The sequence below is a fragment of the Homo sapiens genome, chromosome 7 (genome assembly GCF_000001405.40).
Source record: "Homo sapiens chromosome 7, GRCh38.p14 Primary Assembly".
Lineage (NCBI taxonomy): Eukaryota > Metazoa > Chordata > Mammalia > Primates > Hominidae > Homo > Homo sapiens.
Window position 1 is genome coordinate 100,455,989 of NC_000007.14, and position 23,237 is coordinate 100,479,225.

Sequence of the window (23,237 nt, forward strand, 5' to 3'; positions counted from 1 at the left end):
TCCTTATTCCCACGGTGCCAGGCCAAATCCCTCACCCAGCTCCTAGGCTGCAGCCTTCACCCGGCCCTGCCGTGAGCATGGTCCCTGTAGAGCCCCCTGGAGGTGTAGTTTCAGCTCTTGGTGAGGCGCGGGCAGCAGGCAGCGGGGCTGGAGTTCCTTCACAGCACGTGGATGCATCTCCCACAGCCCCCATGTGCGTCTGCAGACGCACAACTCTCCACAGCCAAGCCCATGGCAAAGCCCTTCAGCACCAGAGAGGCAGGGTAGTGGGCTACCCCTGGGAGCTGGCAGTTTCCAGCAAGGCCTCCTTTGCTGAGCCTTGGACAAGTCCCGTAATCCACCCTAAATACCTTTCTTGTAGGATCGCTAAGGACAGCAGCTGACGGGACTGGGTCCTTGGTGAATGGCAGCTGTTACCGTCCTTATAAGGAAAGGTGGAGTTACAAACAGGCATTTTGGCCCCAAGAAGGGGGTGGGACCCAGAGCAGAAACGTGCTGACCATGCTTCCCCCCAAATAGACCCACAGGTGACCCCTACTGGGATTTAGGCCCTCACCTTAGGGGTCTCTCCCTGACCCACCCAAACTCCTCTCATCCCCTCCCGCCGTCCACAAACACACTCCATACTGACTCAGAACTATCTGATATTTATTTCCCAATATTTTGATACTTGTTTTACAACTGGAATACATGGAATGAAGGGGCTGATATGGGACCCCAGGTAAGAGTGAGGTCAGGACTCTCTAAGGGTCTGGGGTTCCCCCTAGAGGGGACTTTGGGCATCCAGTTTCAGGGACTGAGCCGGGTTGGGTCGGGGGGCAGCATGGCATCGGACGTGGTGCCGTCTGTGCCTCTCCTGCCTGCGGTACAGCCGGCGCAGGTGTTTCCGAACGGCCCACAGCACCAGGTACACCTCCCACAGCAACTCAGCCTCCGGAGTCTTCAAAGGTGACTGCGTCCTCACTTGGGAGCTGACTGAGGCAGAACTCACTGATGACTGTAAGAGAAAGAGAAGATGTGCATGCGTAAATAGCTGGGTCTAGGGAGAAACTGCCGCTAGAACGACCCATAGATAAACAGCAAAGGGCTCCCTGATTCCACCTCTCCCATCAGCCCAACTCATACATCACCTCCTCCAGAAAGCCTTCTCAGGTTGCATCAAATGTTTGTCATTTCTATCCTTTTTTTTTTTTTTAATGAGACGGGGTCTTGCTATGTTGCCCAGGCTGGTCTCGAACTCCTGGGCTCAAGAGATCTTCCTGCCTTGGCTTCCCAAAGTGTTGGGGATTACAGGCGTGAGGCATCACACCTGGCCCATCAGTTCTATTCTTCTTTTTTTTGTTGTTTTGAGATGGAGTCTTGCTCTATCACCCAGGCTGGAGTACAGTGGCATGATCTCAGCTCACTGCATCCTCCACCTCCTGGGTTTAAGCGATTCTTCTGCCTCAGGCTCCTGAGTAGCTGGGATTACAGGTGCTCGCTATCACGCCCAGCTAATTTTTGTAGTTTTAGTAGAGAAGGGGTTTCACCATGTTGGCCAGGCTGGTCTCGAACTCCTGACCTCAAGTGATCAGCCGGCCTCGGCCTCCCAAAGTGCTGGGATTACAGGCGTGAGCCACCATGCCTGGCCTTTTTTTTTTTTTTTTTTTTGAGACAAGGTCTCACTCTGTCACCCAGGCTGGAGTGCAGTGGCATAATCTCAGCTCACTGCAACCTCCACCTCCCAAGTTCAAGTGATGCTCCCACCTCAGCCTCCTGAGTAGCTGGGACTACAGTCGTGCACCACCATGCCCGGCTAACTTTTATATATATATATGTGTGTGTGTGTGTGTGTGTGTGTGTGTGTGTGTGTGTATATATATATATATATTTTTTTTTTTTTTTGTAGAAATGGGGTTTTGCCCAGGCTGGTCTTGAACTCCTGAGCTCAAGTGATCCACCTGCCTCAGCCTCCCAAATGCTGAGATTACAGGCGTGAGTCGCCACGCTCGGCTTAAACTGTTTTTTTGTTTTGTTTTGTTTTGAGATCATTGTAGACTGACTGACCTGCAATTGGAAGAAATCATAGAGATCCTGTGCACCCTTTACTGAGTTCACCTCATAGGAAAATCTTGCAAATCTATACTATTATATCATAGTCAGGATATTGACATTGATCCAATCTACTGATCTTATGTAGATTTCCCCAGTTGTACTTGTACTCACTGGTGTGTGTGTGTGTGTGTGTGTGTGTGTGTGTGTGTGTGTGTGTATAATTTTACCAAGTTTTATCCAGTATGCAGGTTCATGTATCCAACTACCACAGTCAAGGTACAGAACATTTCCATCGGGCAGGAGAAACAAAAAACAAAAACATAAAAACAAAACAAAACAGAAAGCTACAGAACATTTCCATCAGACAGGAGAAAGCAAAAAACAAAAACAAAACAAAAAAAGATACAGAACATTTGCATCATCACAAGTGTCCCTCATGTTGTCCTTTAATAACTACACTCTTCTCCCCCTATCTCTGTGGCCCCTGGAAACCACTGAGCCACTAATATGTTTGCCATTTCTAGACTTTTGTTATTTCAAGAGTGGTAGATAATATAAACGGAATCATTCAGAATATAACCTTTTAGGATTGGTTGTTTCCACTCAGTATAATTTCCTTGAGGCCGGGCCCAGTGGCTCATGCCTATAATCCCAGCACTTTGGGAGGCCAAGGTGGGTGGATCACCTGAAGTCAGGAGTTCCAGACCAGCCTGGCTAACATGGTGAAACCCCATCTCTACTAAAAATACAAAAAATTAGCTGGGTGTGGTGGTGGGCACCTGTGGTCCCATCTAATCGGGAGGCTGAGGCAGGAGAATAGCTTGAAGCTGGGAGGCGGAGGTTGCAGTGAGCCGAGGTCGCACCACTTCATTCCAGCCTGGGCAATGAGAGTGAAACTCCGTCTCAAAACAAAACAAAAAATTTCCCTCAAGATTCACACCCACGTTACTGTGTGTATCAATAGTTTGTCCTTTTTACCTTTTTTTTTTTTTTTTTTTTGAGACGAAGTCTCCCTCTGTCACCCAGGCTGGAGTGCAGTGGCACAATCTTGGCTCACTGCAAGCTCCGCCTCCCGGGTTCACGCCATTCTCCTGCCTCAGCCTCCCGAGTAGCTGGTACTACAGGCGCCTGCCACCACGCCTGGCTAATTTTTTTGTATTTTTTTTTTTAGTAGAGACGGGCTTTCATCCTGTTAGTCAGGATGGTCTTGATCTCCTGACCTCGAGATCCGCCTGCCTCGGCCTCCCAAAGTGCTGGGATTACAGGTGTGAGCCACCGTGCCCGGCCTTTATTTTTTCAGGCAGAGTTTCACTTTTGTTGCCCAGGCTGGAGTGCAGTGGCATGATCTCAGCTCACTGCAACCTCCGCCTCCCAGGTTCAAGCGATTCTCCTGCCTCAGCCTCCCGAGTAGCCCACCACCATGCCCAGATAATTTTTTTGTATTTTTAGTAGATACAGGGTTTCACCATGTTGGCCGGGCTGGTCTCGAACTCCTGATCTCAGGTGATATGCCTGCCTTGGCCTCCCAAAGTGCTGGGATTACAGGCATGAGCCACCACGCCCGGCCCTGTCCTTTCCGTCTTTTTAGAATTTTATTTATTTGTGTGTTTGTTTTGTTTGTTTGCAGATACGGGGTCTCACTATGTTGTCTAGGCTGGCCTCGAAACCCTGGGCTCGAGCGATGCTTCTGCCTGGTGTTTCAAAGTGCTAGGATCACAGGTGTGTCGCTGCTCCTGGCCAGTTTGTCCCTTCTTATTGCTGAGTAGTATTCTGGGGTTTGAAGGTATCACAGTTTAACCATTCACCCACTGAAGGACATGGGTTGATTTTGGCTATTACAAATCAAGCTGCTGTGAACATCCACATTTAGATTTTTTTTTTTTTTTAGATGGAGTCTCGCTCTGTCACCCAGGCTGGAGTACAGTGGCGCTATTTCAGCTCACTGCAAGCTCCGCCTCCCAGGTTCACGCCATTCTCCTGCCTCAGCCTCCCAAGTAGCTGGGACTACAGGCACCCGCCACCACGCCCGACTAATTTTTTGTATTTTTAGTACAGACGGGGTTTCACTGTGTTAGCCAGGATGGTCTTGATCTCCTGACCTTGTGATCCACCTGCCTCGGCCTCCCAAAGTGTTAGGATTACAGGCGTGAGCCACTGCGCCTGGCCTCACATTTAGATTTTTGTGTGAACATAAGATTTTATTTATCTGGGATAAATGCCCAAGAGTACAACTGTTGGGTCATATGATAACTGCGTGGTTAGTTTTATAAGAAATAACCACTCTTGGCCAGGCGCTGTGGCTCACGCCTGTAATCCCAGTACTTTGGGAGTCTGAGGTGGGAGGATCGCCTGAAGTCAAGAGTTCGAGACTAGCATGGTCCAATATGGTGAAACTCTGTCTCTACTAAAAATACAAAAGTTAGTCAGACATGGTGGTGAGTGCCTGTAATCCCAGCTACTTGGGAGGCTGAGGCAGGATAATTGCTTGAACCTGGCAGGCAGAGGTTGCAGTGAACAAGATCATGCCACTGCACTCCAGCCTATGTGAGAGAGTGAGACTCCATCATAAAAAAAAAAAGAGAGAGAGAGAGAGAAATGACCATCCTGTTTTCCAGAGTTGCTGTGCTATCTATTTTCCTTTTTTTTTTTTGAGAGTGTCTCACTGCCACCCAGGTTGGAGTGCAGTGGCACAAATATAGCTCACTGTGGCCTTGACCTCCCAGTGGTCCTCTCACCTTAGCCTCCCAAGTAGCTGGGACTACAGGCATGCATCATGCCTGGCTAATTTTTTTACTTTTGTAGAGATGGGGTCTCCCTGTGTTGCCCAGGCTGGGCTGAACAAGCTTACAATCCTACCCAAATATGAGTGCAGGTGAGCTTTCAAAATCAACATTTGATCATGTCACTCCTCTGCTCAAATGTCTTCAAGGGCTCCCATTGCTCTAAGGGTCCAATCCAAAGCTCACAACTTGGCAACCCTGCCTTCTACCAGCTGACTTTAGGCTTCAGGATCGTTCCACTCCAACCCACACACCTTGGGACAGCTCTGCACTCATCTGCTATTCTTTTCTGTTTGTTTGAGACAGACTCTCACTGTATTGCCCAGGCTGGAGTGCAGTGGCAGAATCTCGGGTCATTGCAACCACTGCTTCCCAGGATCAAGCGATTCTCCTGCCTCAGCCTCCCAAGTATCTGGGATTACAGCGGTGCACCACCACACCCCACTGATTTTTGTTTTTGTTTTTAGTAGAGACAGGGTTTCACCATGTCGGCCAGGCTGGTCCTAACTTCAGGTGATCCACCTGCCTCAGTGGCACGATCTCGGCTCACTGCAGCCTCCGCTTCCCAGACTCCAGCAGACTTCCCACTTCAGCCTCCCGAATAGCTGGGACTACAGCTGTGAGCCACCGATTCCTGGCTTATTTTTGTATTTTTTGTAGAGAGAGGGTTTCACCATGTTGCCCAGGCTGGTCTCGAACTCCTGAGCTCAAATGATCCTCCTGCCTTGGCCTCCCAAAGTGTTGGGATTACAGGCATGATCCACTGTGCCTGGCCACACATTTGCCATTCTTACTCCCTGGACACCCCTCCCACTCCCTCCACCTTCCCCTAACAACCCTTTCAAGCCAAGCTAACACCTTCAGGCCTCAGCTTTACCCTCACTTCTGTTAAGAAGGCCTTGCCTGGCCGGGCGCAGTGGCTCACACCTGTAATCCCAGCACTTTGGGAGGCCGAGGCGGACAGATCACGAGGTCAGGAGATCAAGACCATCCTGGTTAACACAGTGAAACCCTGCCTCTACTAAAAATACAAAAAAAAATTTAGCTGGGCGTGGTGGCGGGTGCCTGTAGTCCGAGCTACTCAGGAGGCTGAGGCAGGAGAACGGTGTGAACCCAGGAGGCGGAGCTTGCAGCGAACCGAGATCCCGCCACTGCACTCCAACCTGGGCGACAGACTCCGTCTCAAAAAAAAAAAAAAAAAAAGGCCTCACCTGACTCCTTAGGTTTGGATAACATGCCTCTCTCCTGGGGTCCTACAGCCCGCTTGACAACGTCACACTCAACAATGTGTGGATACTGAACTAGCAATGCCTATTGTCTCATCTGTAGCCCTGCAAGTCTGCAAGTCTTGTTCATTGTTGTATCTTTAGTACATGGCATTTGGTGGACGCATAGGAAATATTTTTTATTTTTATTATTTATTTTTTTTGAGATGGAGTCTCGCTCTGTCGCCCAGGCTGGAGTGCAGTGGTGCTATCTCGGCTCACTGCAAGCTCCGCCTCCCGGGTTCATGCCATTCTCCTGCCTCAGCCTCCTGAGTAGCTGGGACTACAGCCACCTGCCACCTTGCCTGGCTAATTTTTTGTATTTTTAGTAGAGACGGGGTTTCACCATGTTAGCCAGTATGGTCTCAATCTCCTGACCTCGTGATCAGCCTGCCTCGGCCTCCCAAAGTGCTGGGATTACAGGCGTAAGCCACCGTGCCCGGCCAGAAATATATATATATTTTTAAGAGACAGAGTCTCGCTCTATTGCCCAGGCTGGAGTGCAGTGGCACAATCATAGCTCATTACAGCCTTGAACTCCTGGGCTCATGTGTTCCTCCTGCCTCAGCCTCCCAAGTAGCTGGAAATACAGGCACCACTAAGCCTGGCTAATTTTTAACTTTTTTGTAGAAATGGGGTCTCACTTTGTTGCCCAGGCTGGCCTTGAACTCCTGGCCTCAAGTGATCCTCCTGCCTCAGCCTCCCAAAGTGCTGGGACTATAGGCATGAGCCACCATGCCTGGCTAAGAAAGAAAACATTTGCCGGGCATGGTGGCTCATGCCTGTAATCCCAGCACTTTGGGAGGCTGAGGCAGGTGGATCACTTGAGGCCAGGAGTTCGAGACCAGCTTGGCCTCGTGGTGAAACCCTGTCTCTACTAAAAATGCAAAAATTAGCCAGGCGTGGGAGTCTGTAGTCCCCAGCTACTCGGGAGGCTGAGCCAGGAGAATAGCTTAAACCGGGGAGGTGGAGGTTGCAGTGAGCCGAGATCACGCTACTGCACTCCAGCCTGGGCGACAGAGGGAGACTCTGTCTCAGGGAGAAAAAAAAAAAAGAAAGGAAGAAAAAGAAAAAGAAAAAGATATTTTAAGAGACAGGGTCTTGCTATGTTGCCCAGGCTGGTCTCGAATTCCTGAGCTCAAGTGATCCTCCCATCTCAGCCTCCCAAAGTGCTGGGATTACAGGCGTGAGTCACTGCACCAGGCCAGGAAACAATTGTTGAACAAGTAATCAGAGGGAGGGGTGAGTCACTGGGGGCTGGGGAAAGAGGGAGGGGGTGTTAGGATGGTGCTGACCTTCCAGCTGCACATCTGCCAGCCGCTCTGCAGGGCAGAGACCATGAGCGTGGAGACAGACTTGACGGCCGTCCTCGGCAGCTGCAGTAGGGATTGGCCCTGTTGGCCCAGCTCCACCTCGGTCTCCTCTGTAGTCTTGGCCAACACGCAGGGATCTGCCAGCTCGGGGGACTCACCCAACTTGGGCTTAGCCTCTTTTGGGAGCTCGACCAACCTCAAAGTCTCAACCACCTGGAGAGTCTTCTCCATCTTCTTCAATGAGTGTTTCTTGGAGTCAGGGTGTCCTGAGATGGTTGGTTTAATTTTTTGCCTCCAGAAGAAAACCTGAGAACCAAGACACAGAGAGGAGAGACAGGAGAGAGGGGCAGGGCAGAGACAACACCATCCACAGAAAAGAAGGCACAAAAGGGATGGAGCAGTGAGTTTCCTGGCCTCTCTTCCTTCTCCTCCAGCCCCTCCCCAGCTGTCCTTTCCTTCCTCCCCACTCCATCTTGTTTGGCCACAGGCCAGGAAGGGAGGGAACCCACGCAGTAAGGGGCTGCTGCGACCCATGCCCTCATCCCAGCGCATCATGAGGACAGAGTGGTCTCAGAAACTCACCCAGGAAATAATCCTTTGCCAAGCCCGTCTAACCCATCGGAAGAACTTCATGACCACAACCATCTCTCTTGATGGGAAAAACACAGAAGAAAGGGCAGAGCTAGCATTTGGTACGGTGGGGGTGGCGGGTGGGGGATGGGGTGGGCTGTGGGCCGGTGACCACCTCTTGAGGGGTCTCCTGTGAGCTTCAAGCACAGCAGTAAAGAAAGAAGTAGGAAATCCTGGGGGAAGCCCCTCCTGGCAATGAATCCCAGACCTTTTCTCCCCTCCCTGGGACAGGGAGAGGAGTCGAAGTAGGTGAGAACCTACAGTGAGGGAGAGTTCTAGACCATTGTGAGGCTGCCTGGCCCCGACCCCAACCCCCGAGGCCCTGCCCAGACCCACAGAGTCCATCTCTTCCACCCTGGCTCTTCTTCGCTCAGATCCAGGGAAAATAAACTAACACGTAACAAACTAATAAGCACTGTTCCTGCATCACGTCCTGCAGTCCTTCACAGCAGCCCTTCAAGATAGGTATTATTGTTAGTGCCACTTCATCAAAGAGGAATCTGAAATTCAGGAAAGCTGAAGGGGGCCGGGCATGGTGGCTCATGCCTGTAATCCCAGTGTTTTGGGTGGCTGAGGCAGGAGGATCACTTGAGGCCAGGAGTTGAAGACCAGCCTGGGCAACATAGTGAGACTCCCCCCAACTCACTATGTTTAAATTTTTCAAAAAAAGAGTTTAAATCAGTTGGGAGTGGTGGTGTGTGCCTGCAGTCCCAGCTACTCAGGAGGCTGAGGCAGGAGGATTGCTTGCGCCCAGGAGGTGGAGGCTGCAGTGAGCCATGATTGTGCCACTGCACTCCAGCCTGGGCAACAGAATGAGACCCTGTCTCAAAAAAAAAAAAAAAAAAAAGGAAGGAAGGAAGGAAGGGAGAGGAGGGAGGAAGGAAGAGAGAGAGACAGAGAGGAGAGAAAGAAAGAGAGAGAGAGAGAGAAAGAAGAAAGAAGGAAAAGAACAAAAGAAAGAAAAGAAGGAAAGAAAAAAACAAAAAAGAAAGACAAAAAAGGAAGGAGGGAAGGAAGGAAGGAAGGAAGCAAGGAAGGAAAAAACTTAAGAGAGCCAGGTGTGGTAGCTCACACCTGTAATCCCAGAACTTTGGGACGCCAAGGTGGGAGGATTACTTGAAGCCAGCAGTTTGAGATCAGCCTGGGCCATATAGCGAGATGGTCTCTACCAAAAAATTTAGGCTAGGCGCAGTGGCTCATGCCTGTAATCCCAGCACTTTGGGAGGCTGAGGTAGGCAGATTACTTGAGTTCAGGAGTTTGAGACCAGCCTGACCAAAGTGGTGAAACCCCTTCTCTACTAAAAATACGAAAAAAAAAAAAAATTAGCTGGGTGTGGTGGTGCACACGTGTAGTTCCAGCTACTCAGGAGGCTGAGGCATGGAAATCGCTTGAACCTGAGAGGTGGAGGTTGCAGTAAGCTGAGATCTCACCACTGCATTCCAGACTGGGTGACAAGAGCGAAACTTCGACTCTAGCTGGGCATAGTGCCACATGCCTGTAGTCCCAGCTACTTAGGAGGCTGAAGTGGGAGGATCACTTGAGCCCAGGAGTTGAAGACTGCAGTGATCTATGATCACACCACTGCACTCCAGCCTGTGCAACATAGCAAGGCCCCATCTCTACAAAAATAAAGAAAATTAGCTGAACGTGGTGGCGCACACCTATAGTTCAGGGAGGCCAAGGCGGGAGGATCACTTGAGCCAGGAACGTGGAGGCTGCAGGGAGCTGTGATTGTGCCACTGCACTCTGGGCATCAGAGCAATACCCTGTCTCAAAAAAAGAAAGGAGAAATGAAAAAAAAAAAAAGAAAAACCAAAGAAGTTGCCCAAGGTTATGAACCTAGGGAAACCTAAGGAGGCAGAGAGTCAGGCACTCCAAGACAGGTCAGCCTCCTTGGAGGCTGCTGGGGCCAGGGGATCCCGGGGCTAGGGGCCTCCTGGGGCTACAGCTGCAGCTCTCGCCTCTTCCCCACTAGATGGGGTCCTTCTCCATTGCTGCTGACTCTTCCGCCTGGGACCGGAGCCCAGGCTGCCAGGGAGGGGCCAGCTCACCCACAGGGCCCGTCCTCAGCTGGCCGGGGGTGGGAGCCACGGCGGCTGGCCAGGCCTGGCAAGGGCACCGTGTGCCCGGGGAGCCTGGCCCACACCCAGCCCCGAGACAAGGGGCCCATTCAGGGCCCCCCGCCCCGCCCCCAAGCAGCCACCCGGATCCAGCCCGCAGAGGGGACACACTGGGAAGCCAGGGGTGGATCTTGGGCAACCACCAAAGACCTTATTGTTTCCCAGCCCCCCGCCCAGCACGTGGGCAGACGCCCCCCCACCCCCAATCCTCACTTGCCCCTTCCCAGGACCCGAACCGCTGGCTCCCTTCTCCAGCCTCTGTCTCAATTCCTCCGTCTCCCACGCTTTAAACCTCCCCAGTCTGCAAAAGATCTCAGGGGAGCCCTAAATGGCAGGCGCGACCCCTGAGTCTGAACACAAGCAACGAACGAGATGTCAACCTCCAAATTCAAGTTTCTTCAGAGTTTTTAATTATTATTATTATTTTAATAACAACCTGAATCCCAGAACTTCCAGATACTGTCCACACTCCCTCCCCTGGGCAGAGGAGAGGAGGCACCTCAAGGGAACAAGATGGGGGTGGGGTGTCTGCCGGGGAGCCTCCGACTCCCCCAAGCCGTCTACTGCTGGGGGGTCCCAGGAGGGAGGGTGGGGGTTGGTTCCCTCCCAGAGGGGGCTCCCTCTGACGCCCCGTCCTGAAGCCCTCCCTCCTCCATCAAGGCTGGGGATGATGAGGAGATGGGGCAGGGGCCGGGGGACCAGGCCATTACTGAGCCTTGAACTCCCACCCCGGGGACACGGGGACATTAAAGCTGCATAGGAAGAGGGGGCAGGCGGCTGACGCAAGGCCGGGCAGCCCCAAAGGCACATTGTAAGGGAAGGGAGGCTCAGACGGAGGGCCCATTGGGCGCAGGGGGCCCAAGCCGTGGGACCCCCGAGGAGGGCAGCTGAGCCAGCTGCTCCGGGCTGGCCAGGGCGCGCAGCAGCCCATTCTCCTGCTCCAGCGCAGCGTTCCGCTCCGCCAATTCCCGGATCTGCTCCTTCAGCACCTCCACCTCCTCCCGGACCGCAAACATGAGGTGGGACTTCACCAAGTCCTGGGGGCCCCGGGACAGGCACAGCGTCAACGGGGTGGGTGCCTCATCCCCTGCCCAGTGCCTTGAGGGCTGGGGTGGGAGACAGTCCCCAGTGTCCAGAGGATGAGGGACAAAGCAGGGAAGGGACAGGGGAAAAGGACGAGGGACAGAGGCAGAGTCAGGGCTCAAAGACAGAGATGGGGACCAGTAGCCAGACTAGAGGCTGGGCAAAGTCAAGGGTGGAGGTGGTGGCAGGAGGGGGCAGAGGATGCCCAGCAGCCCAGCAGGGAGAGGGACGGAGGAGCTGGGAGTTGGTGTTCCCTGGTAAGGAAGAGGACAGGGCTGGGGCAGAGGGATGGCTTAAGGGGGCCAGGACCTCCTGGGACCAAGATGGCTTCTCTTACCATGGCTTGCTCGATTTTGTTGTCAATGCCAACCAGGCTTCCGGAGCCACTGGAGAGACACAGGAAGGTGAGGGGAGGAGAGGAGAAGCCTTCCCAGGTGCTGGTTTCTTGGACCACAGCCTCCCGCCCACACCCCCCTGTACCTGTGACAGTAGAGAATGAGGGAGAGGAGGGTTTTGTCCATCCCCCTGCGGGTTGAAGGCCGCTGCCCAGGGCCTCCCAGGCCCCGGTGGGGCGGGGGCCCAGATGTCCCTCGGATGGGGGATGCACCCCGGGGAGAGCAAGGGGAAGAGGCACAGCCCCTTTTTCGGGGCAGCCCCGGAGCCATCCCCACCACTCGGGTCTCATAAGACGACACCAGGGACTTGACAGAGACCCCTGGCTGGGCCATGCCCAAGGGGAAAGGGTCCTTAGACACCCCCCCAATGGAGAGGGATGCAGTGAAGGGAATGCCTGGGGGGCTCAGAGCCCCCCGGGCAGAGCAGGGTCTGGCTGGTGCCAGGCAGGCAGAGAGGAGACAGTGCCTCGGGGGTGCTGGCCTGAAAGATATACACCACCCCCCCAAGGGCAAGGCCTGGCTGCTATTGGCTCCTTGGGGACACGGGGACCCCCCCTCCTTTCAGCTCCTCGGTGGGCGGGAATTCCCAGACACGGTCAGTGCCAGTGTCCCCTTCTCACCCTGGCACCAATCCCAGAGTGGAGGGGAGGGGGCCGGCCGAGGAAGTCAGCTGGTGGCTGGGCCAGGGGAGGGGCGTGGGGCAGAAGCCTGGGTCTGAGCGGGGAGTGAAGGGTGTGAAGGGAGAGGAAGGGGCTGGCCTTCGGAGGCCCCTCGCCACCTCCGACCCCATTCTGTCCCCTCCGTCACTCAAGGCCTTGGGAAAGAGGGTGGAGGTGGCTGGGGTAGGGGGCGTTCTGACGTGCTCGTGGTCTTCCATAGATCATGAGCGCTCTCCCACCAAAAAACCCCACAAGGCTCACATCATGGGTGACCCCTGGGATCTGGCCAGAGGGTCCCTGAGTCTCCAGAGAAGACCAAAAATGGGAAAGGTTACCATGGCAACAGAAACTGAGCCCAAAGCCCTAGAAGATGAATACAGCGTAAAGGCCAGGCGTGGTGGCTCACACCTGTAATCCCAGCACTTTGGGAGGCCAAGGTGGGTGTATCACTTGAGGTCAGGAGTTTGAGACCAGCCTGGCCAACATGGAGAAACCCCATCTCTACTGAAAATACAAAAATTAGCCAGGCGTGGTGGAGGGTGCCAGCAATTCCAGCTACTCAGGAGGCTGAGGCAGGAGAATCGCTTGAACCCAGGAGGTGGAGGTTGCAGTGAGCCGAGATCGTGCTACTGCACTCCAGCCTGGACGACAGAGTGAGATCTTGTCTCAAAAAAAAGCCAGGTGTGGTGGCTCACGCTTGTAATCCCAGCACTTTGGGAGGCTGAGGCGAGTGGATCACCTGAGGTCAGAAGTTTGAGACCAGCCTGGCCAACATGGTGAAACCCTGGCTCTACTAAAAGTACAAAAAATTAGCTGGGCATGGTGGGGGGTGCCTGTAATCCTAGCTACTCTGGAGGCTGAGGCAGGAGAATCGCTTGAACCTGGGAGGCGGAGGTTGCAGTGAGCCGAGATCGTGCCACTGAATTCCAGCCTGGACAACAAGAGCAAAACTCTGTCTTAAAAAAAAAAAAAAAAAAATCGCCTATGGGCCTGGGACCTGGGTCTGGGGTCTCAGAGGAAGCGAGGGTTTGAGGAGAGGAAGGGAAGTGAGCTTGGAGAAGGGACACTGGGAAGAGGAGCAACAGGGCTTGGAAGAGGGCTGGGAGTCTGGGGTGACAGGGTCTGGCTGCAGTCTGGGAAGTGGCCACCAGAGGGCGACTCAGGCCTGGCTCAACAGCCCCCAGGGCCGGGCTCCAGGCTGGCTCCACGACGTTGGGCTCCTGGTCCCAGAACCTGGCTCTCCCTCAAGCCCCACTCTCAGGCCCCACCTGCGCAGGCCCTTGTGCTGACCTCATCCTCCAAGGCTCCCTCTCCCACCCCTCAGGCCCCAGGCTCTTGCCCTGAGGCTCCCGACCCACCCTTGCACCCCTGCACTCTGGCGCTGTGGCGGGATCCCCAGTCCTGCCCTCCAGCCCCCAGCTGGGCCCCCCTTGGAGCAGGGGCCTCAAGGCGCTGCAGCCCACATCCCTGGACTCCCTTGTAAGCCCTCCCTCCTGGCTGTCAGCTCAGACTTGCTTTCCTGCAGGGGGATCAGCACTCAATTCAAGGTGACCCCTGGATAAGGTCCTGCAGCCAGGAAGGGAGCACAAGGGAGCTGGGAATTTTCCATTTCTCATCCCAGCTCTGGGTGCAGAAGGCGCTGACAGGTGGAGCAACTAAGGAGGTGACTAGGCCTGAGCGAGCAGGATGGGGTGGGTGGGGGAAGGGCATCTGGGACTCTTGGGGTGGTGGGAGAGGAGAAGTTGAAGGGTGGAGGTGGGTCTGCCAGCAGGAGGGTCAAAGTAATTTTCGAGCTATTTCAATCAGCAACACCTGGGTGGAGATGGAGCCACCACAGAAAGCCCAATACTGCCACCACCCCATTAAACACTCACAGAGACCAAAGGGGTTGGATACACAGGGATAGGAACATGGGCCCTGCTGGGCAGAGACTCAGGGGTAAAGATGTCAAGTAAGGTGTTCATTCTCACCAGAGATAAAGGAATAATACAGCAATAAACGTTTGTTAGCCGACAGGTGACTGTCTTCTGTTTGTCTAGCGCCTGGGAGTTTTTGCTCTTGTTGCCCAGGCTGGAGTGCAATGGCGGGATTTTCCCTCATTGGAACCTCCACCTCTGGGTTCAAGTGATTCTCCTGCCTCAGCCTCCAGAGTAGCTGAGATTACAGGCATGAGCCACCATGCCCAGCTAATTTTTGTATTTTTGCCGGGGAGCCTCCGGCAAAATGGGGTTTCACCATGTTGGCCAGGCTGGTCTTGAACTCCTGACCTCATGATCCACCCACCTCAGCCTCCCATCTCAGTCCTGGGATTACAGGTGTGAGTCACTGTGCCAGGCCTCTATTGGAACATTCTAACACACACTTCAAGGGACCAGGGCTCTGGCAATGCAGGCCCTTCCCTTTAGGACCCCAAAGCGAGGGGTTGTGGGCACTGTGCTAGAATTCTTTGACAGGGTCCGGGGGAGGAAAGTAGGGGCTGCTGAGACAGGATCGACCTCCACCACAAGCCCAAAAGCAAGTTTGTATGGATTAGAAAATGCCCCCTTCTTCGAGATCCTTAATGCCATCTTCTGGAAAACTGTCGTGACTTCAAGCATTGACTGTGATTTCAAATATGAGCGGCACCCCCTGGAGTTAGTTGTGCAGTGTGTGACATGCACAGTGGGAGACTTAGCCCTGCAGGACTCTTGGTCCTGGGGCGGGGACAGCCCTAGAAGCTGGTCTTCCTCTTTGAGGGTCAAATAAAACGGCCTCAACATGAAGATGAGATAAAAAGCAGGACACCTGGGAGAAATGGGGAGCCTGGGATCTTGGGGACAGGGGCCAGCCCTGCACACTCTCCAGTGGGTTCAGGGGATCCCCCAGGGCCTAGGTCTGGGGCCAAGAAAGTGTCATCCAGCTGCCCTGTCTCTATGCTGTCCCGGATCTGTGGTGTCTTTGGGGCGGGGCTGGGGAGGTCGGGGAGGGGGAAGGGGGGCTGGCTCCCTGCCCTGCTTGGGAGAGCTGTACCTGACTGTCCTAGAGAGAAAGGATATTGTAGACCATTGCCGCCACCTCTTTGCCTGGGACACAGGCATCCCAGTAGGACAGTGGAGAAGGTGTGGCTTTGGAGTTGGACCCAGGCTCCAGCTGCAGTCCAGCCACTTAAACTAGCTGGGTGGCCCTTGGGCAAGTTTCTAAAACCCTCCTGGCCGGGTGAGGTGGCTCATGCTTGTAATCCCAGCACTTTGGGAGGTCGAGGTGGGTGGATCACCTGAGGTCAGGAGTTTGAGATCAGCCTGGCCAACATGGTGAAACCCCGTTTCTACTAAAAATACAAAAATTAGCCGGGCATGGTGGCATGCACCTGTAGTCCCAGCTACTGGGGAGGCTGAGCCAGGAGAATCGCTTAAACCTGGGAGGCAGAGGTTGCAGTGAGCCAAGATCGTGCCACTGCATTCCAGCTTGGGAAACAGAGCAAGACTCCATCTAAAAAAGAAAAAAACAAAAACAAAACAAAAAAAAACCTCCTTCTCTGAGTCTCAGATACTTCATCTGGCAAGTGGGAGAATGGAACTGCTTTTTAGGATTAGAAGGGAGAAGGCAGTACCGGACCCAAGGGAGGCACTGGATAAATAAATGTACCTTTTCTTTCCCAAGTCCCTGGGATCCATTCTGTATAATGCCTGGATCCCCCAGGCCGGTCACTGCCCCCACCCCCATTCCTTCCATCCACTTCTTCACACCTTAATTACCTCCTGCCTGCCGGGAGGGGACAAGGATTTCCAGCCCTGGGGCACGTGAGCATTCTAGATTCACCTGCACCCTCTGTTCGCCCATCCCCAGATTCAGGGACTGGTCAGGCGTCCCCAACTCCCTCCCTGTGATCCAGGCACTGAACATCTCAGCCCACCTTCCCTCTTAAGAGAGAGGTCCCAGGCCACTGGCATCCTGTCCTGCCAGCCCTGTGCACACCAGACAGGAGAGGTGGGGCCTACATGTCCCATTCCTAGGGGGCAGGGGGTGGCCCAACCCAAACCCGCTGGCCTGGCAGGGTGGGGCTTGAGGGGCTGGGCTGGGACAGATCCCCAAGAGCCTTGGAGCACAGCAGGGTGAAGTGGAGGCTGGGAACCGGACCGGTCAGATTGGGGTGTGCAGGGAGGGGGTGGGATGGAGGGAGGCAGGGAGGGAGGGTACAGGGGAAAGACGGAGGCCTCAGGAGGTTGAATCCTCTAAGACAGAGACAGCAGGAGGCTGGGCTGTGAACTCAACAGGGGTGGGGGAGGGACGGGGAGTCCTCTTGCCGGGGAACCTCCCAAGTGGGAGAGGGAGAGGGCGGGAAACGCTGAGAATAGCAGTGATGGCGGCAGGTGACTCTCCCAGCCCTGGCCGACCTCACACCTCGCACATTCCTGAGAGTGGGAATGGGGCGTGCAGAAGCCACCCAGTCCTGCCCAGCCCCGCCCAGCCCCACCCAGCACTGGCACTCTTGCCCTCCGTCCCACCAGCTCCTGGCCACCTCCTTTGCCAGGTCCCTATCCTCCCTGAGGCCGCAGGACCCTATCAGTGGTGGGCTTGAGTCCCTGATCCCAGCGAGTGGCCCCTGATCTGGGGAGGACAGGAAGGAGCGACTCCCATCTGGAATTGGTCCCTCAGGCACCCACTCACCCACTCTCGAAGCCCCACCCCCAATTTCCTTCCAAGCAGGAAGTCCCTCCCCTTGAAAACCTCCCACGGGAAGTCCCACTTCTCCCTCCAAAAGAAAAGCGGTGACTCCCCAGCCCTTCTGCCCGGTTCCTATCAGTCCCCGGGGAGAAGCAGGCAGCCTGGCTATCTCTGACTCACGATTCTGGGCCTCCCTTTTCAGCTTGCTGGCTTTCTTAGGAATGGTGACACCTGGCCCTGAAAACCCACCCAACAGAGCACTGTCCCCTAAAGGGAGAACCCCAGAAAGTCGCTCTCTGCAGTGCTGCCCCTGCCCCTTTGCCGTTCCTAGCTCTGATTCTGTTCCTAGCTGGCCCATCTTAGGGACTTGCTTTCTCGGTTCTAGAAATCTTAGGATCCTAAAGTAGACCCTGTGGGCTATCAGGATGTCACGCTCCACAGGTGCTGTTAGGGAGTCCCAGTCCTTTGTTAGGAGAGAAAGAGGGAGATGGAACTGGGAGGAAACTGATTTCCATTCTTTTTCAGTTTTTTTTGTTGTTTTTTTTTTGAGGCGGAGTCTCGCTCTGTCACCCACGCTGGAGTGCAGTGGTGCGATCTCGGCTCACTGCACCCTCTGCCTCCTGGGTTCAAGTGATTCTCCTGCCTCAGCCTCCTGAGTAGCTGGGATTACAGGCACGTACCACCACGCCTGGCTAATTTTTGTATTTTTAGTACAGACAGGGTTTCACCGTGTTGGCAAGGCTGGCCTCGAACTCCTGACCTCAGGTGATCTGCCCGCTTCAGCCTCCTAAAGTGCTGGGATTACAGGCATGAGCCACCATGCCCAGCCTACTTCCTTTATGTATATATATATATATTTTTTTTTTCTTTCTTTCTTTTTCTTTTTAGAGATGAGGTCTCGCTACATTGCCAGGGCTTGGTCTTGAACTCCTGGCCTCAAGCAATTTTCCTGCCTGGGCCTCCCAAAGCACTATGAGTACAGGCGGGAGCCACTGTGCCCCGGCCTGATTTGCTATTCTGTCTAGAGCATGCATTTGCCAGTGGGTTCCTGGGTTGGCCAGATGATCTCTAAATCTGCAAGAGCTCTGGAATCTGACAACAATGACTCCCTTCAGACTCTAAAAAAGTCTGTGACCTGACAGTTCTGAGCCAGGGAGTCCCACCCAGCCCTCTCCACAGAGAGGGAGTGGGTCCGAAATCAACTGTGTGCAGTGGCTATGCCCAGGCCAGGTTTCTCTAAGAGGTCCTCTCCAAGTTCAACCTGGGGGAAGGATGCCTACCAGGCACTTTCTTACAGCTACCCCGGGTGCTGGGCGGGGAACCTGAACCCCACGCCCCACCACCCCACGAAGCCCACCTACCTATCATCGTCGCTGTCTAGGTGACCACTGATGGCCAACATGGAGTGGGCCAGGCTGAACTTCTGAGCTGCTACTGCTCCGAAGGGGTCTGGAGATTTGTGAACCAGGCTGGCATCGTGGGTGAAGTAGAGGGCTGGGGAGCTGGGGCGAGAGTCAAGTGGGGGCACCTGGAGGCGGAGAGGTAGGAACCATCACATGAAAAGAGAAAAGAAAGGAACCAGCTGCCTTAAAACTTGCCTATTAGCCTTCCTCCCTCTCCACCTCCCCACTCTCTTTCGAGGACCCAGGAGTCCTGTCCCCGCAGTCCTTCCCTCCTCCAGCTCTGGAGAAGGCATTAGGCAGGTACTAGAAGCAAGAAGTGGGTCAACCTAAGGAATGGGAGGAGTGGTGTATAGGACATTAGAGAGAGTCTCCCAAGTGGGAGGAGGGGGTGACTGACGGAGGAACCCAGAATAGACTCCAATGCCCCAGCTCCCACTGGGCCGGGACCCCTAATCAGAGGCTACGCAGCGTGTCTGCCTTCTTTTATGTTTTATTTTTATTTTTTTGAGACAGTCTCACTCTGTCACCCAGGCTGGAGTGAAGTGGCACAATCATGGCTCACTGCAGCCTTGAATTCCTGAGCTTAAGCGATCCTCCAGCCTCAGCCACCCGAGTAGCTGGGACTACAGGCATGCACCATCATAACTGGCTAATTTTTTATTTTTGGTTAACACAGGGTCTCAAGATGTTGTCCCGGCTGGTCTCAAACTCCTGGGCTCAAGTGATCCTCCTGCCTCAGCCTCCCAAAGTGCTGGAAGAATGAGCCACCACTCCCAGCCTGTGCCTTTACTGGAGTCTCGCTCTGTCGCCCATGCTGGAGTGCAGTGACGTGATCTTGGCTCACTGTAACCTATGCCTTCCAGGTTAAACTGATTCTCCTGCCTCAGCCTCCTGAGTAGCCGGGACTACCGGCACCTGCCATCACACCTGGCTAATTTTTTTATTTTTAGTAGAGACGACAGGGTTTCACCATGTTGGCCAGGCTGGTCTTGAACTCCTGACCTCAAGTGATCTGCCCGCCTCGGCCTCCCAAAATGCTGGGATTACAGGCGTGAACCACTGCACCCAGGCTGCCTTCTTAAAATGACTCCAATGTCACCTCTTAGAGAGGCATTTCCCCATCATTCACTGGTTTACTGAACTATTTCATTTTTTTATAGCACCTAACATTATCTGAAATTAAAGTATTTATTGTGTCTCTCCCCTGCTAGAAGGTCAGTTTGCTCAGTAGCTATTTGTAGAATGAATGGATCCTCAGAAACTGCTCCTCCATCCCCTCACCCACCCCCCACTCTCGCTTCCCCTCTCAAACTTCTCGGACTCAGGTGGAATTCTGCTCCTGCGCTCTGCCCTAGGGTTGGGGGGGGAGCTGGTTGTGGAGCTGGGGGGAGGCGGAGCCTGGGCGTGGACCTGCATAGCCCAACAGGCTCTGGGGGCAGCAGCAAAAAGGGCGGGGGCGACAGGAACATGACAAGACGCCTCTGTGAGGCCCCGGGAGGCCCCAGCTTCTCAGAAAAGCCAAGAACAGAGAGTCCAGGGTGGTTAAGGGACAGAGCAGAGGAAGGGGGCCCAGGTGGTGTCCCCTGGCCCTTCTCCACCACTCCCCTCTGTTAAGAGGGAGAAGAGGCATGAGGGGACGTGGAAGGGAGACAGACTTTTGGGCAAGGAAATAGCAAAACAGATGCGTGCAAACAGAAGACCGTCAGGAGGTGGGGGAAGGCTGGGGAGTAGGGGGCACTGAGAGAGAGAGGCAGGGTCTGTGGCCCCAAGAGAAGCTCAGGCCAGGCTTAAGGACAGAGAGCAGGGAAGCTGGAGGCCAAGGGGGTTTGCTTTGGAAGAGTCTGGGGACAGGACAGGAAGAGAAACAGCATCTTCTCCCCTGGGGTGGGTGCTGAATGCAAGAGTTCAAGAAGAGTTGGGGGAGGGGGGGTAGGAGGGGGCATCACGAGAGATGTGAGCTTGAGGCCAGGAGGGGTTTGGGGGGAGCCAGTCCTGACCGGTCCTGACAGGACCCAGACATCCAGTCCCAGGTTATTTTTATACTGTGGTTTGTGCCCAAGGCCAGGAAGGGGAAAGAGTTCGCATCCTCACACTCCCTGCCTTTCCCCAGACCTCCGAGGTGTTATATTCTCCCACAGGACAGAAGTATCCAACCTTCTATCTCTGGCTGCTCACCCCCACCATGGGGACCCAGGCATCCTGCCCCCACAGCCTGGCTTGTTCCTCTTTTGGAGACAGGAAGGAGAAAGAGTATGGGACTGAACTCCCTTCTGGGGCTCTTCTCTCCCACTCCACAGTGGTCACCCTCGAGTTATCAATCACAGAGAGGCTCAGATGGACGGGGGTGAGCCAGACAACTGGGGGGTGAAATGGATCAACCAGCAGGCCCCCTCCCTGTCCCTGAGAGGTGTTCCCCCCACCCAATTTCTCAGTGACACTTGGCTTACAGCAAAGCTGGAGGCAGGACTGAGATGGGTGGCTGGGGGAAAAGAAAGACCCCCACATTCAGGATGGGGCTGCAGTGCAGAGACTGGCAGCGCGCAAGGCCTACCTTTTACTTTTCCTCCCCAAATCCTGGCAGCTCCTCCCCTAGGGACCCAGCTACCCAGCTATCCAGCTGGGGCCTCCACCCTCATCACCTAGAGGCAGAGGGGCTGAGACCAAGACAGAAGAAGGCCTGATGAGGGGGCCACATATGCTACAGGCTACATGAAGACCAAGACAGAGAATCAGAGGCCAGGGAGAAAGAGAGAGGGTGCAGAAAAACAGGAAGGAGGCTGAGACAGAAAATGAAGTAGGAGGAAGGGGCTTCAGAGTGACCTGGCAGGCACAGAGAAGAGGGCTATCTGATCTTATAAAGTGATGGAGAAGGAGGAGGAGAGGGGGGGGAGGAGGAGGAAGGAGGCTCAAGATAGAGGTTAGGCCAGGGCTGATGGGCCAGCCCTAGAACCCAGGTCTTACCTGCCCCATCTCTTCTGGAGCACCCAACTCCATCCGCAGCCGCATGTCTACAGCTTTCCTCCGGGACAGTGGAGGGGTCCTGGCCCCTGAGCCCCCAGCCTCCGCTTCCACCCTCAGAGAGGGCAGGGGCGTGGCAGCCCGGGATGTGCCCGCACTCTCACCGGTCTCAGGCTCTGGGGGGCGCTGCTGGGGTGAGGAGGCCGACAGTGGGGGTTTCTCTGCCTTGGCTTTGCTGGGCACCACCAGCTGGCCCAGTCCCCCAGTGAAGGAGCGGGCCTGAGGTCCAGGAGAGGTGGGGGGTGGACGGAGCCAGGAGGTGGGGCCCTGAGACAGGCCTGACGGTGGGGTGGGGGCGCCCAGGCCGAGGCTGGCCAGCTCCAACCTGGAATCCAAAGATCTGCCCCCGGCGCCCCCTGAGGCCCCTCGAATTCCCTCCAGGAGTCCGCCGAAGCTGTGGGGCTCCAGGTCTCGCTCATAAACATCCACACACGTCCAGCGACCGCGGCGATAAGGCTCTCCCAGGCCGTGGGGCAGCTTCACCACCCGGAAACGGGAGGAAGGGGCCCCAGGTGGTGGGGAGCCATTCCGGGGGGTGCCCTTGCCCCCCGGATCGGGGCTGGGCTCCCCATTGGGCAGGCGGGGCGGGGGCCCGGTTGGGGGCTGTGGGGTAGGGGGATCCGAAGCCCCTGGGCTCCCAGGGCCCTCATAGTCCGTGGTGACGCTGGTGATTTGGAAACTACTCTTCTTCTTGCCCCCGCTCATGGTCCCTGGGGCTCAGGGCTGGGCCAAGGTTGGGGGTGGGTTGGGGCTCCTTGAAGGGGCTCAGGCACCCCTGGAACAAGGGGGCCACATGGCGGGGACATCCGAGCCCCTGGGGACGTCTGGGTCCGACATGGCAGGAGGGCCTGGCGGGAACCGGGGGTGCCTGCTGGGTGAGGGGAGAAGAGGAGAGGGGAGGTGGCGGGAGGGGGGAGCAGGGGCAGGTTTTTCCTGCTGCTGTTGCTGCTGAACTCCAGAGCTGAGTTTGCAAACTGGAAAAAGAGGGGGAGAGAGAGAGAGAGAGAGAGAGAGAGAGTGTGTGTGTGTGTGTGTGTGTGTGTGTGTGTGTGTGTGTGTGTGTGTGTGAAACCAGTGGGCAGGCCACCTCCGGGGCTTCCTCTCCGGGGAGCAGAGTGGGGGAAGGGGAAACCGTCAGAGACCCAGAGACAGGCAAGAGATGACAGAGACCAGGGCAGAGGGGACTGGATCCAAGAAGGCACTCAGAGTAGAAAGAGGCAGATGAGTCCCAGAGTTGGGCATTTCTCGCCTGGGATTCTGACTCAGGGGGCCCGTATTGTCCCAAGAGCTCGGACTCCAGGGCCTGGGAGAACCAGGCTGAAGCAGCTCCCCAGCCTGGCCCGGCCACTCAGAGAGACCTCTCCTGGGCCTCGAGCCCCCACCCTCACCCCAGCTCCCACATCTCTGGGGCAGGCCCTGCCCGGCTACCCCCCAGCGCCCCACCCAGCCCTGAACCCTACCTCTGGGGCCTCGGCCACTGATCTGAGCCTGAGGGTCCCGGCGCCTAAGAGGTCGGGCTGTCCGTTCCCTGGGGCCTCCTGGCCATGGGCAGTGGCGGGGCACGCAGGCGGCGATCAGAGGCTGTCCCGTCCTCTCCGGGGGCCGCGGCTCATCCTGCCAGGCATCTCCGAGGAAAGTTTGCTCTCCGGAAAAGAAGAAACCCGCGCCTCCTCCGAGGAGCCTAGGAGCGGCCTCTGAAGCCCCAAGGGTCTGGAGACTGATGTGGGAGGGGGCGGCCGAGCCCCCCTCTGCTCCCGGTGGCAGCCAGCGAGTGGGTGTCCCGAGTCTCCTCCCGCGTGACCCTGCTGGGTCCGTGTCTCCGCTCCTCGGCTCCCCTGGGTCTCTGCCTCTCCGTCTTTCTCTTTCTGGGCTGTTGACAACCCCCACACCAG

The 23,237-nt window shown here is 55.4% G+C and overlaps 3 protein-coding genes across 6 annotated transcripts, besides 6 other annotated features; all 3 read right to left on the reverse strand.

The window, feature by feature from the left end:
* Positions 1 to 631: 631 nt before the first annotated feature.
* SPACDR (sperm acrosome developmental regulator) lies at positions 632 to 8,272 on the reverse strand. Its single transcript, NM_001004323.3, has 3 exons — positions 7,975 to 8,272; positions 7,375 to 7,698; positions 632 to 997 (listed from the first exon to the last, which is right to left on the reverse strand). Exons 1-3 carry the CDS (start codon positions 8,035 to 8,037, stop codon positions 764 to 766), a joined length of 621 nt encoding a protein of 206 aa, NP_001004323.1. The 5' UTR covers positions 8,038 to 8,272; the 3' UTR covers positions 632 to 763.
* On the reverse strand, positions 632 to 23,226 carry TSC22D4-C7ORF61 (TSC22D4-C7orf61 readthrough). Its single transcript, NM_001395846.1, has 6 exons — positions 22,806 to 23,226; positions 21,289 to 22,319; positions 18,286 to 18,452; positions 11,564 to 11,612; positions 7,375 to 7,698; positions 632 to 997 (listed from the first exon to the last, which is right to left on the reverse strand). The coding sequence occupies exons 2-6, from the start codon at positions 22,048 to 22,050 to the stop codon at positions 764 to 766; spliced, it is 1,536 nt and encodes a 511-aa protein (NP_001382775.1). The 5' UTR covers positions 22,051 to 22,319; positions 22,806 to 23,226; the 3' UTR covers positions 632 to 763.
* Positions 1,114 to 1,276: a silencer, noted in NCBI's record as "fragment chr7:100054725-100054887 (GRCh37/hg19 assembly coordinates)". NCBI's record gives its function as "represses an EF-1alpha promoter that drives an FKBP-Casp9 reporter gene in an ReSE screen in K562 erythroleukemia cells {active_cell/tissue: K562}" and the evidence as "EXISTENCE:reporter gene assay evidence [ECO:0000049][PMID:32094911]".
* On the reverse strand, positions 10,531 to 23,226 carry TSC22D4 (TSC22 domain family member 4). 4 transcript variants are annotated; one of them, NR_130119.2, is made up of 5 exons: positions 22,806 to 23,226; positions 21,289 to 21,471; positions 18,286 to 18,452; positions 11,564 to 11,612; positions 10,531 to 11,180 (listed from the first exon to the last, which is right to left on the reverse strand). NR_130119.2 is itself a non-coding variant. In NM_001303043.2 (5 exons), exons 2-5 carry the CDS (start codon positions 22,048 to 22,050, stop codon positions 10,971 to 10,973), a joined length of 1,188 nt encoding a protein of 395 aa, NP_001289972.1. In that variant the 5' UTR covers positions 22,051 to 22,216; positions 22,806 to 23,226; the 3' UTR covers positions 10,531 to 10,970. The 4 variants fall into 4 exon arrangements, 2 of the variants coding, with proteins under 2 accessions (NP_001289972.1, NP_112197.1); NR_130118.2 differs by having other exon boundaries at positions 21,289 to 21,474; NM_001303043.2 differs by having other exon boundaries at positions 21,289 to 22,216.
* Positions 13,344 to 13,513: a silencer, noted in NCBI's record as "silent region_18435". NCBI's record gives its function as "represses an Ori minimal core promoter by ATAC-STARR-seq in GM12878 lymphoblastoid cells {active_cell/tissue: GM12878}" and the evidence as "EXISTENCE:reporter gene assay evidence [ECO:0000049][PMID:35858748]".
* Positions 13,554 to 13,703: a silencer, noted in NCBI's record as "silent region_18436". NCBI's record gives its function as "represses an Ori minimal core promoter by ATAC-STARR-seq in GM12878 lymphoblastoid cells {active_cell/tissue: GM12878}" and the evidence as "EXISTENCE:reporter gene assay evidence [ECO:0000049][PMID:35858748]".
* Positions 15,711 to 16,497: an enhancer, noted in NCBI's record as "H3K4me1 hESC enhancer chr7:100069322-100070108 (GRCh37/hg19 assembly coordinates)". NCBI's record gives its function as "activates a minimal SCP1, AML or CMV promoter by ChIP-STARR-seq in primed H9 embryonic stem cells {active_cell/tissue: H9 hESC(primed)}" and the evidence as "EXISTENCE:reporter gene assay evidence [ECO:0000049][PMID:30033119]".
* Positions 16,498 to 17,282: an enhancer, noted in NCBI's record as "H3K4me1 hESC enhancer chr7:100070109-100070893 (GRCh37/hg19 assembly coordinates)". NCBI's record gives its function as "activates a minimal SCP1, AML or CMV promoter by ChIP-STARR-seq in primed H9 embryonic stem cells {active_cell/tissue: H9 hESC(primed)}" and the evidence as "EXISTENCE:reporter gene assay evidence [ECO:0000049][PMID:30033119]".
* Positions 22,862 to 22,931: an enhancer, noted in NCBI's record as "active region_26368". NCBI's record gives its function as "activates an Ori minimal core promoter by ATAC-STARR-seq in GM12878 lymphoblastoid cells {active_cell/tissue: GM12878}" and the evidence as "EXISTENCE:reporter gene assay evidence [ECO:0000049][PMID:35858748]".
* Positions 23,227 to 23,237: the final 11 nt, after the last annotated feature.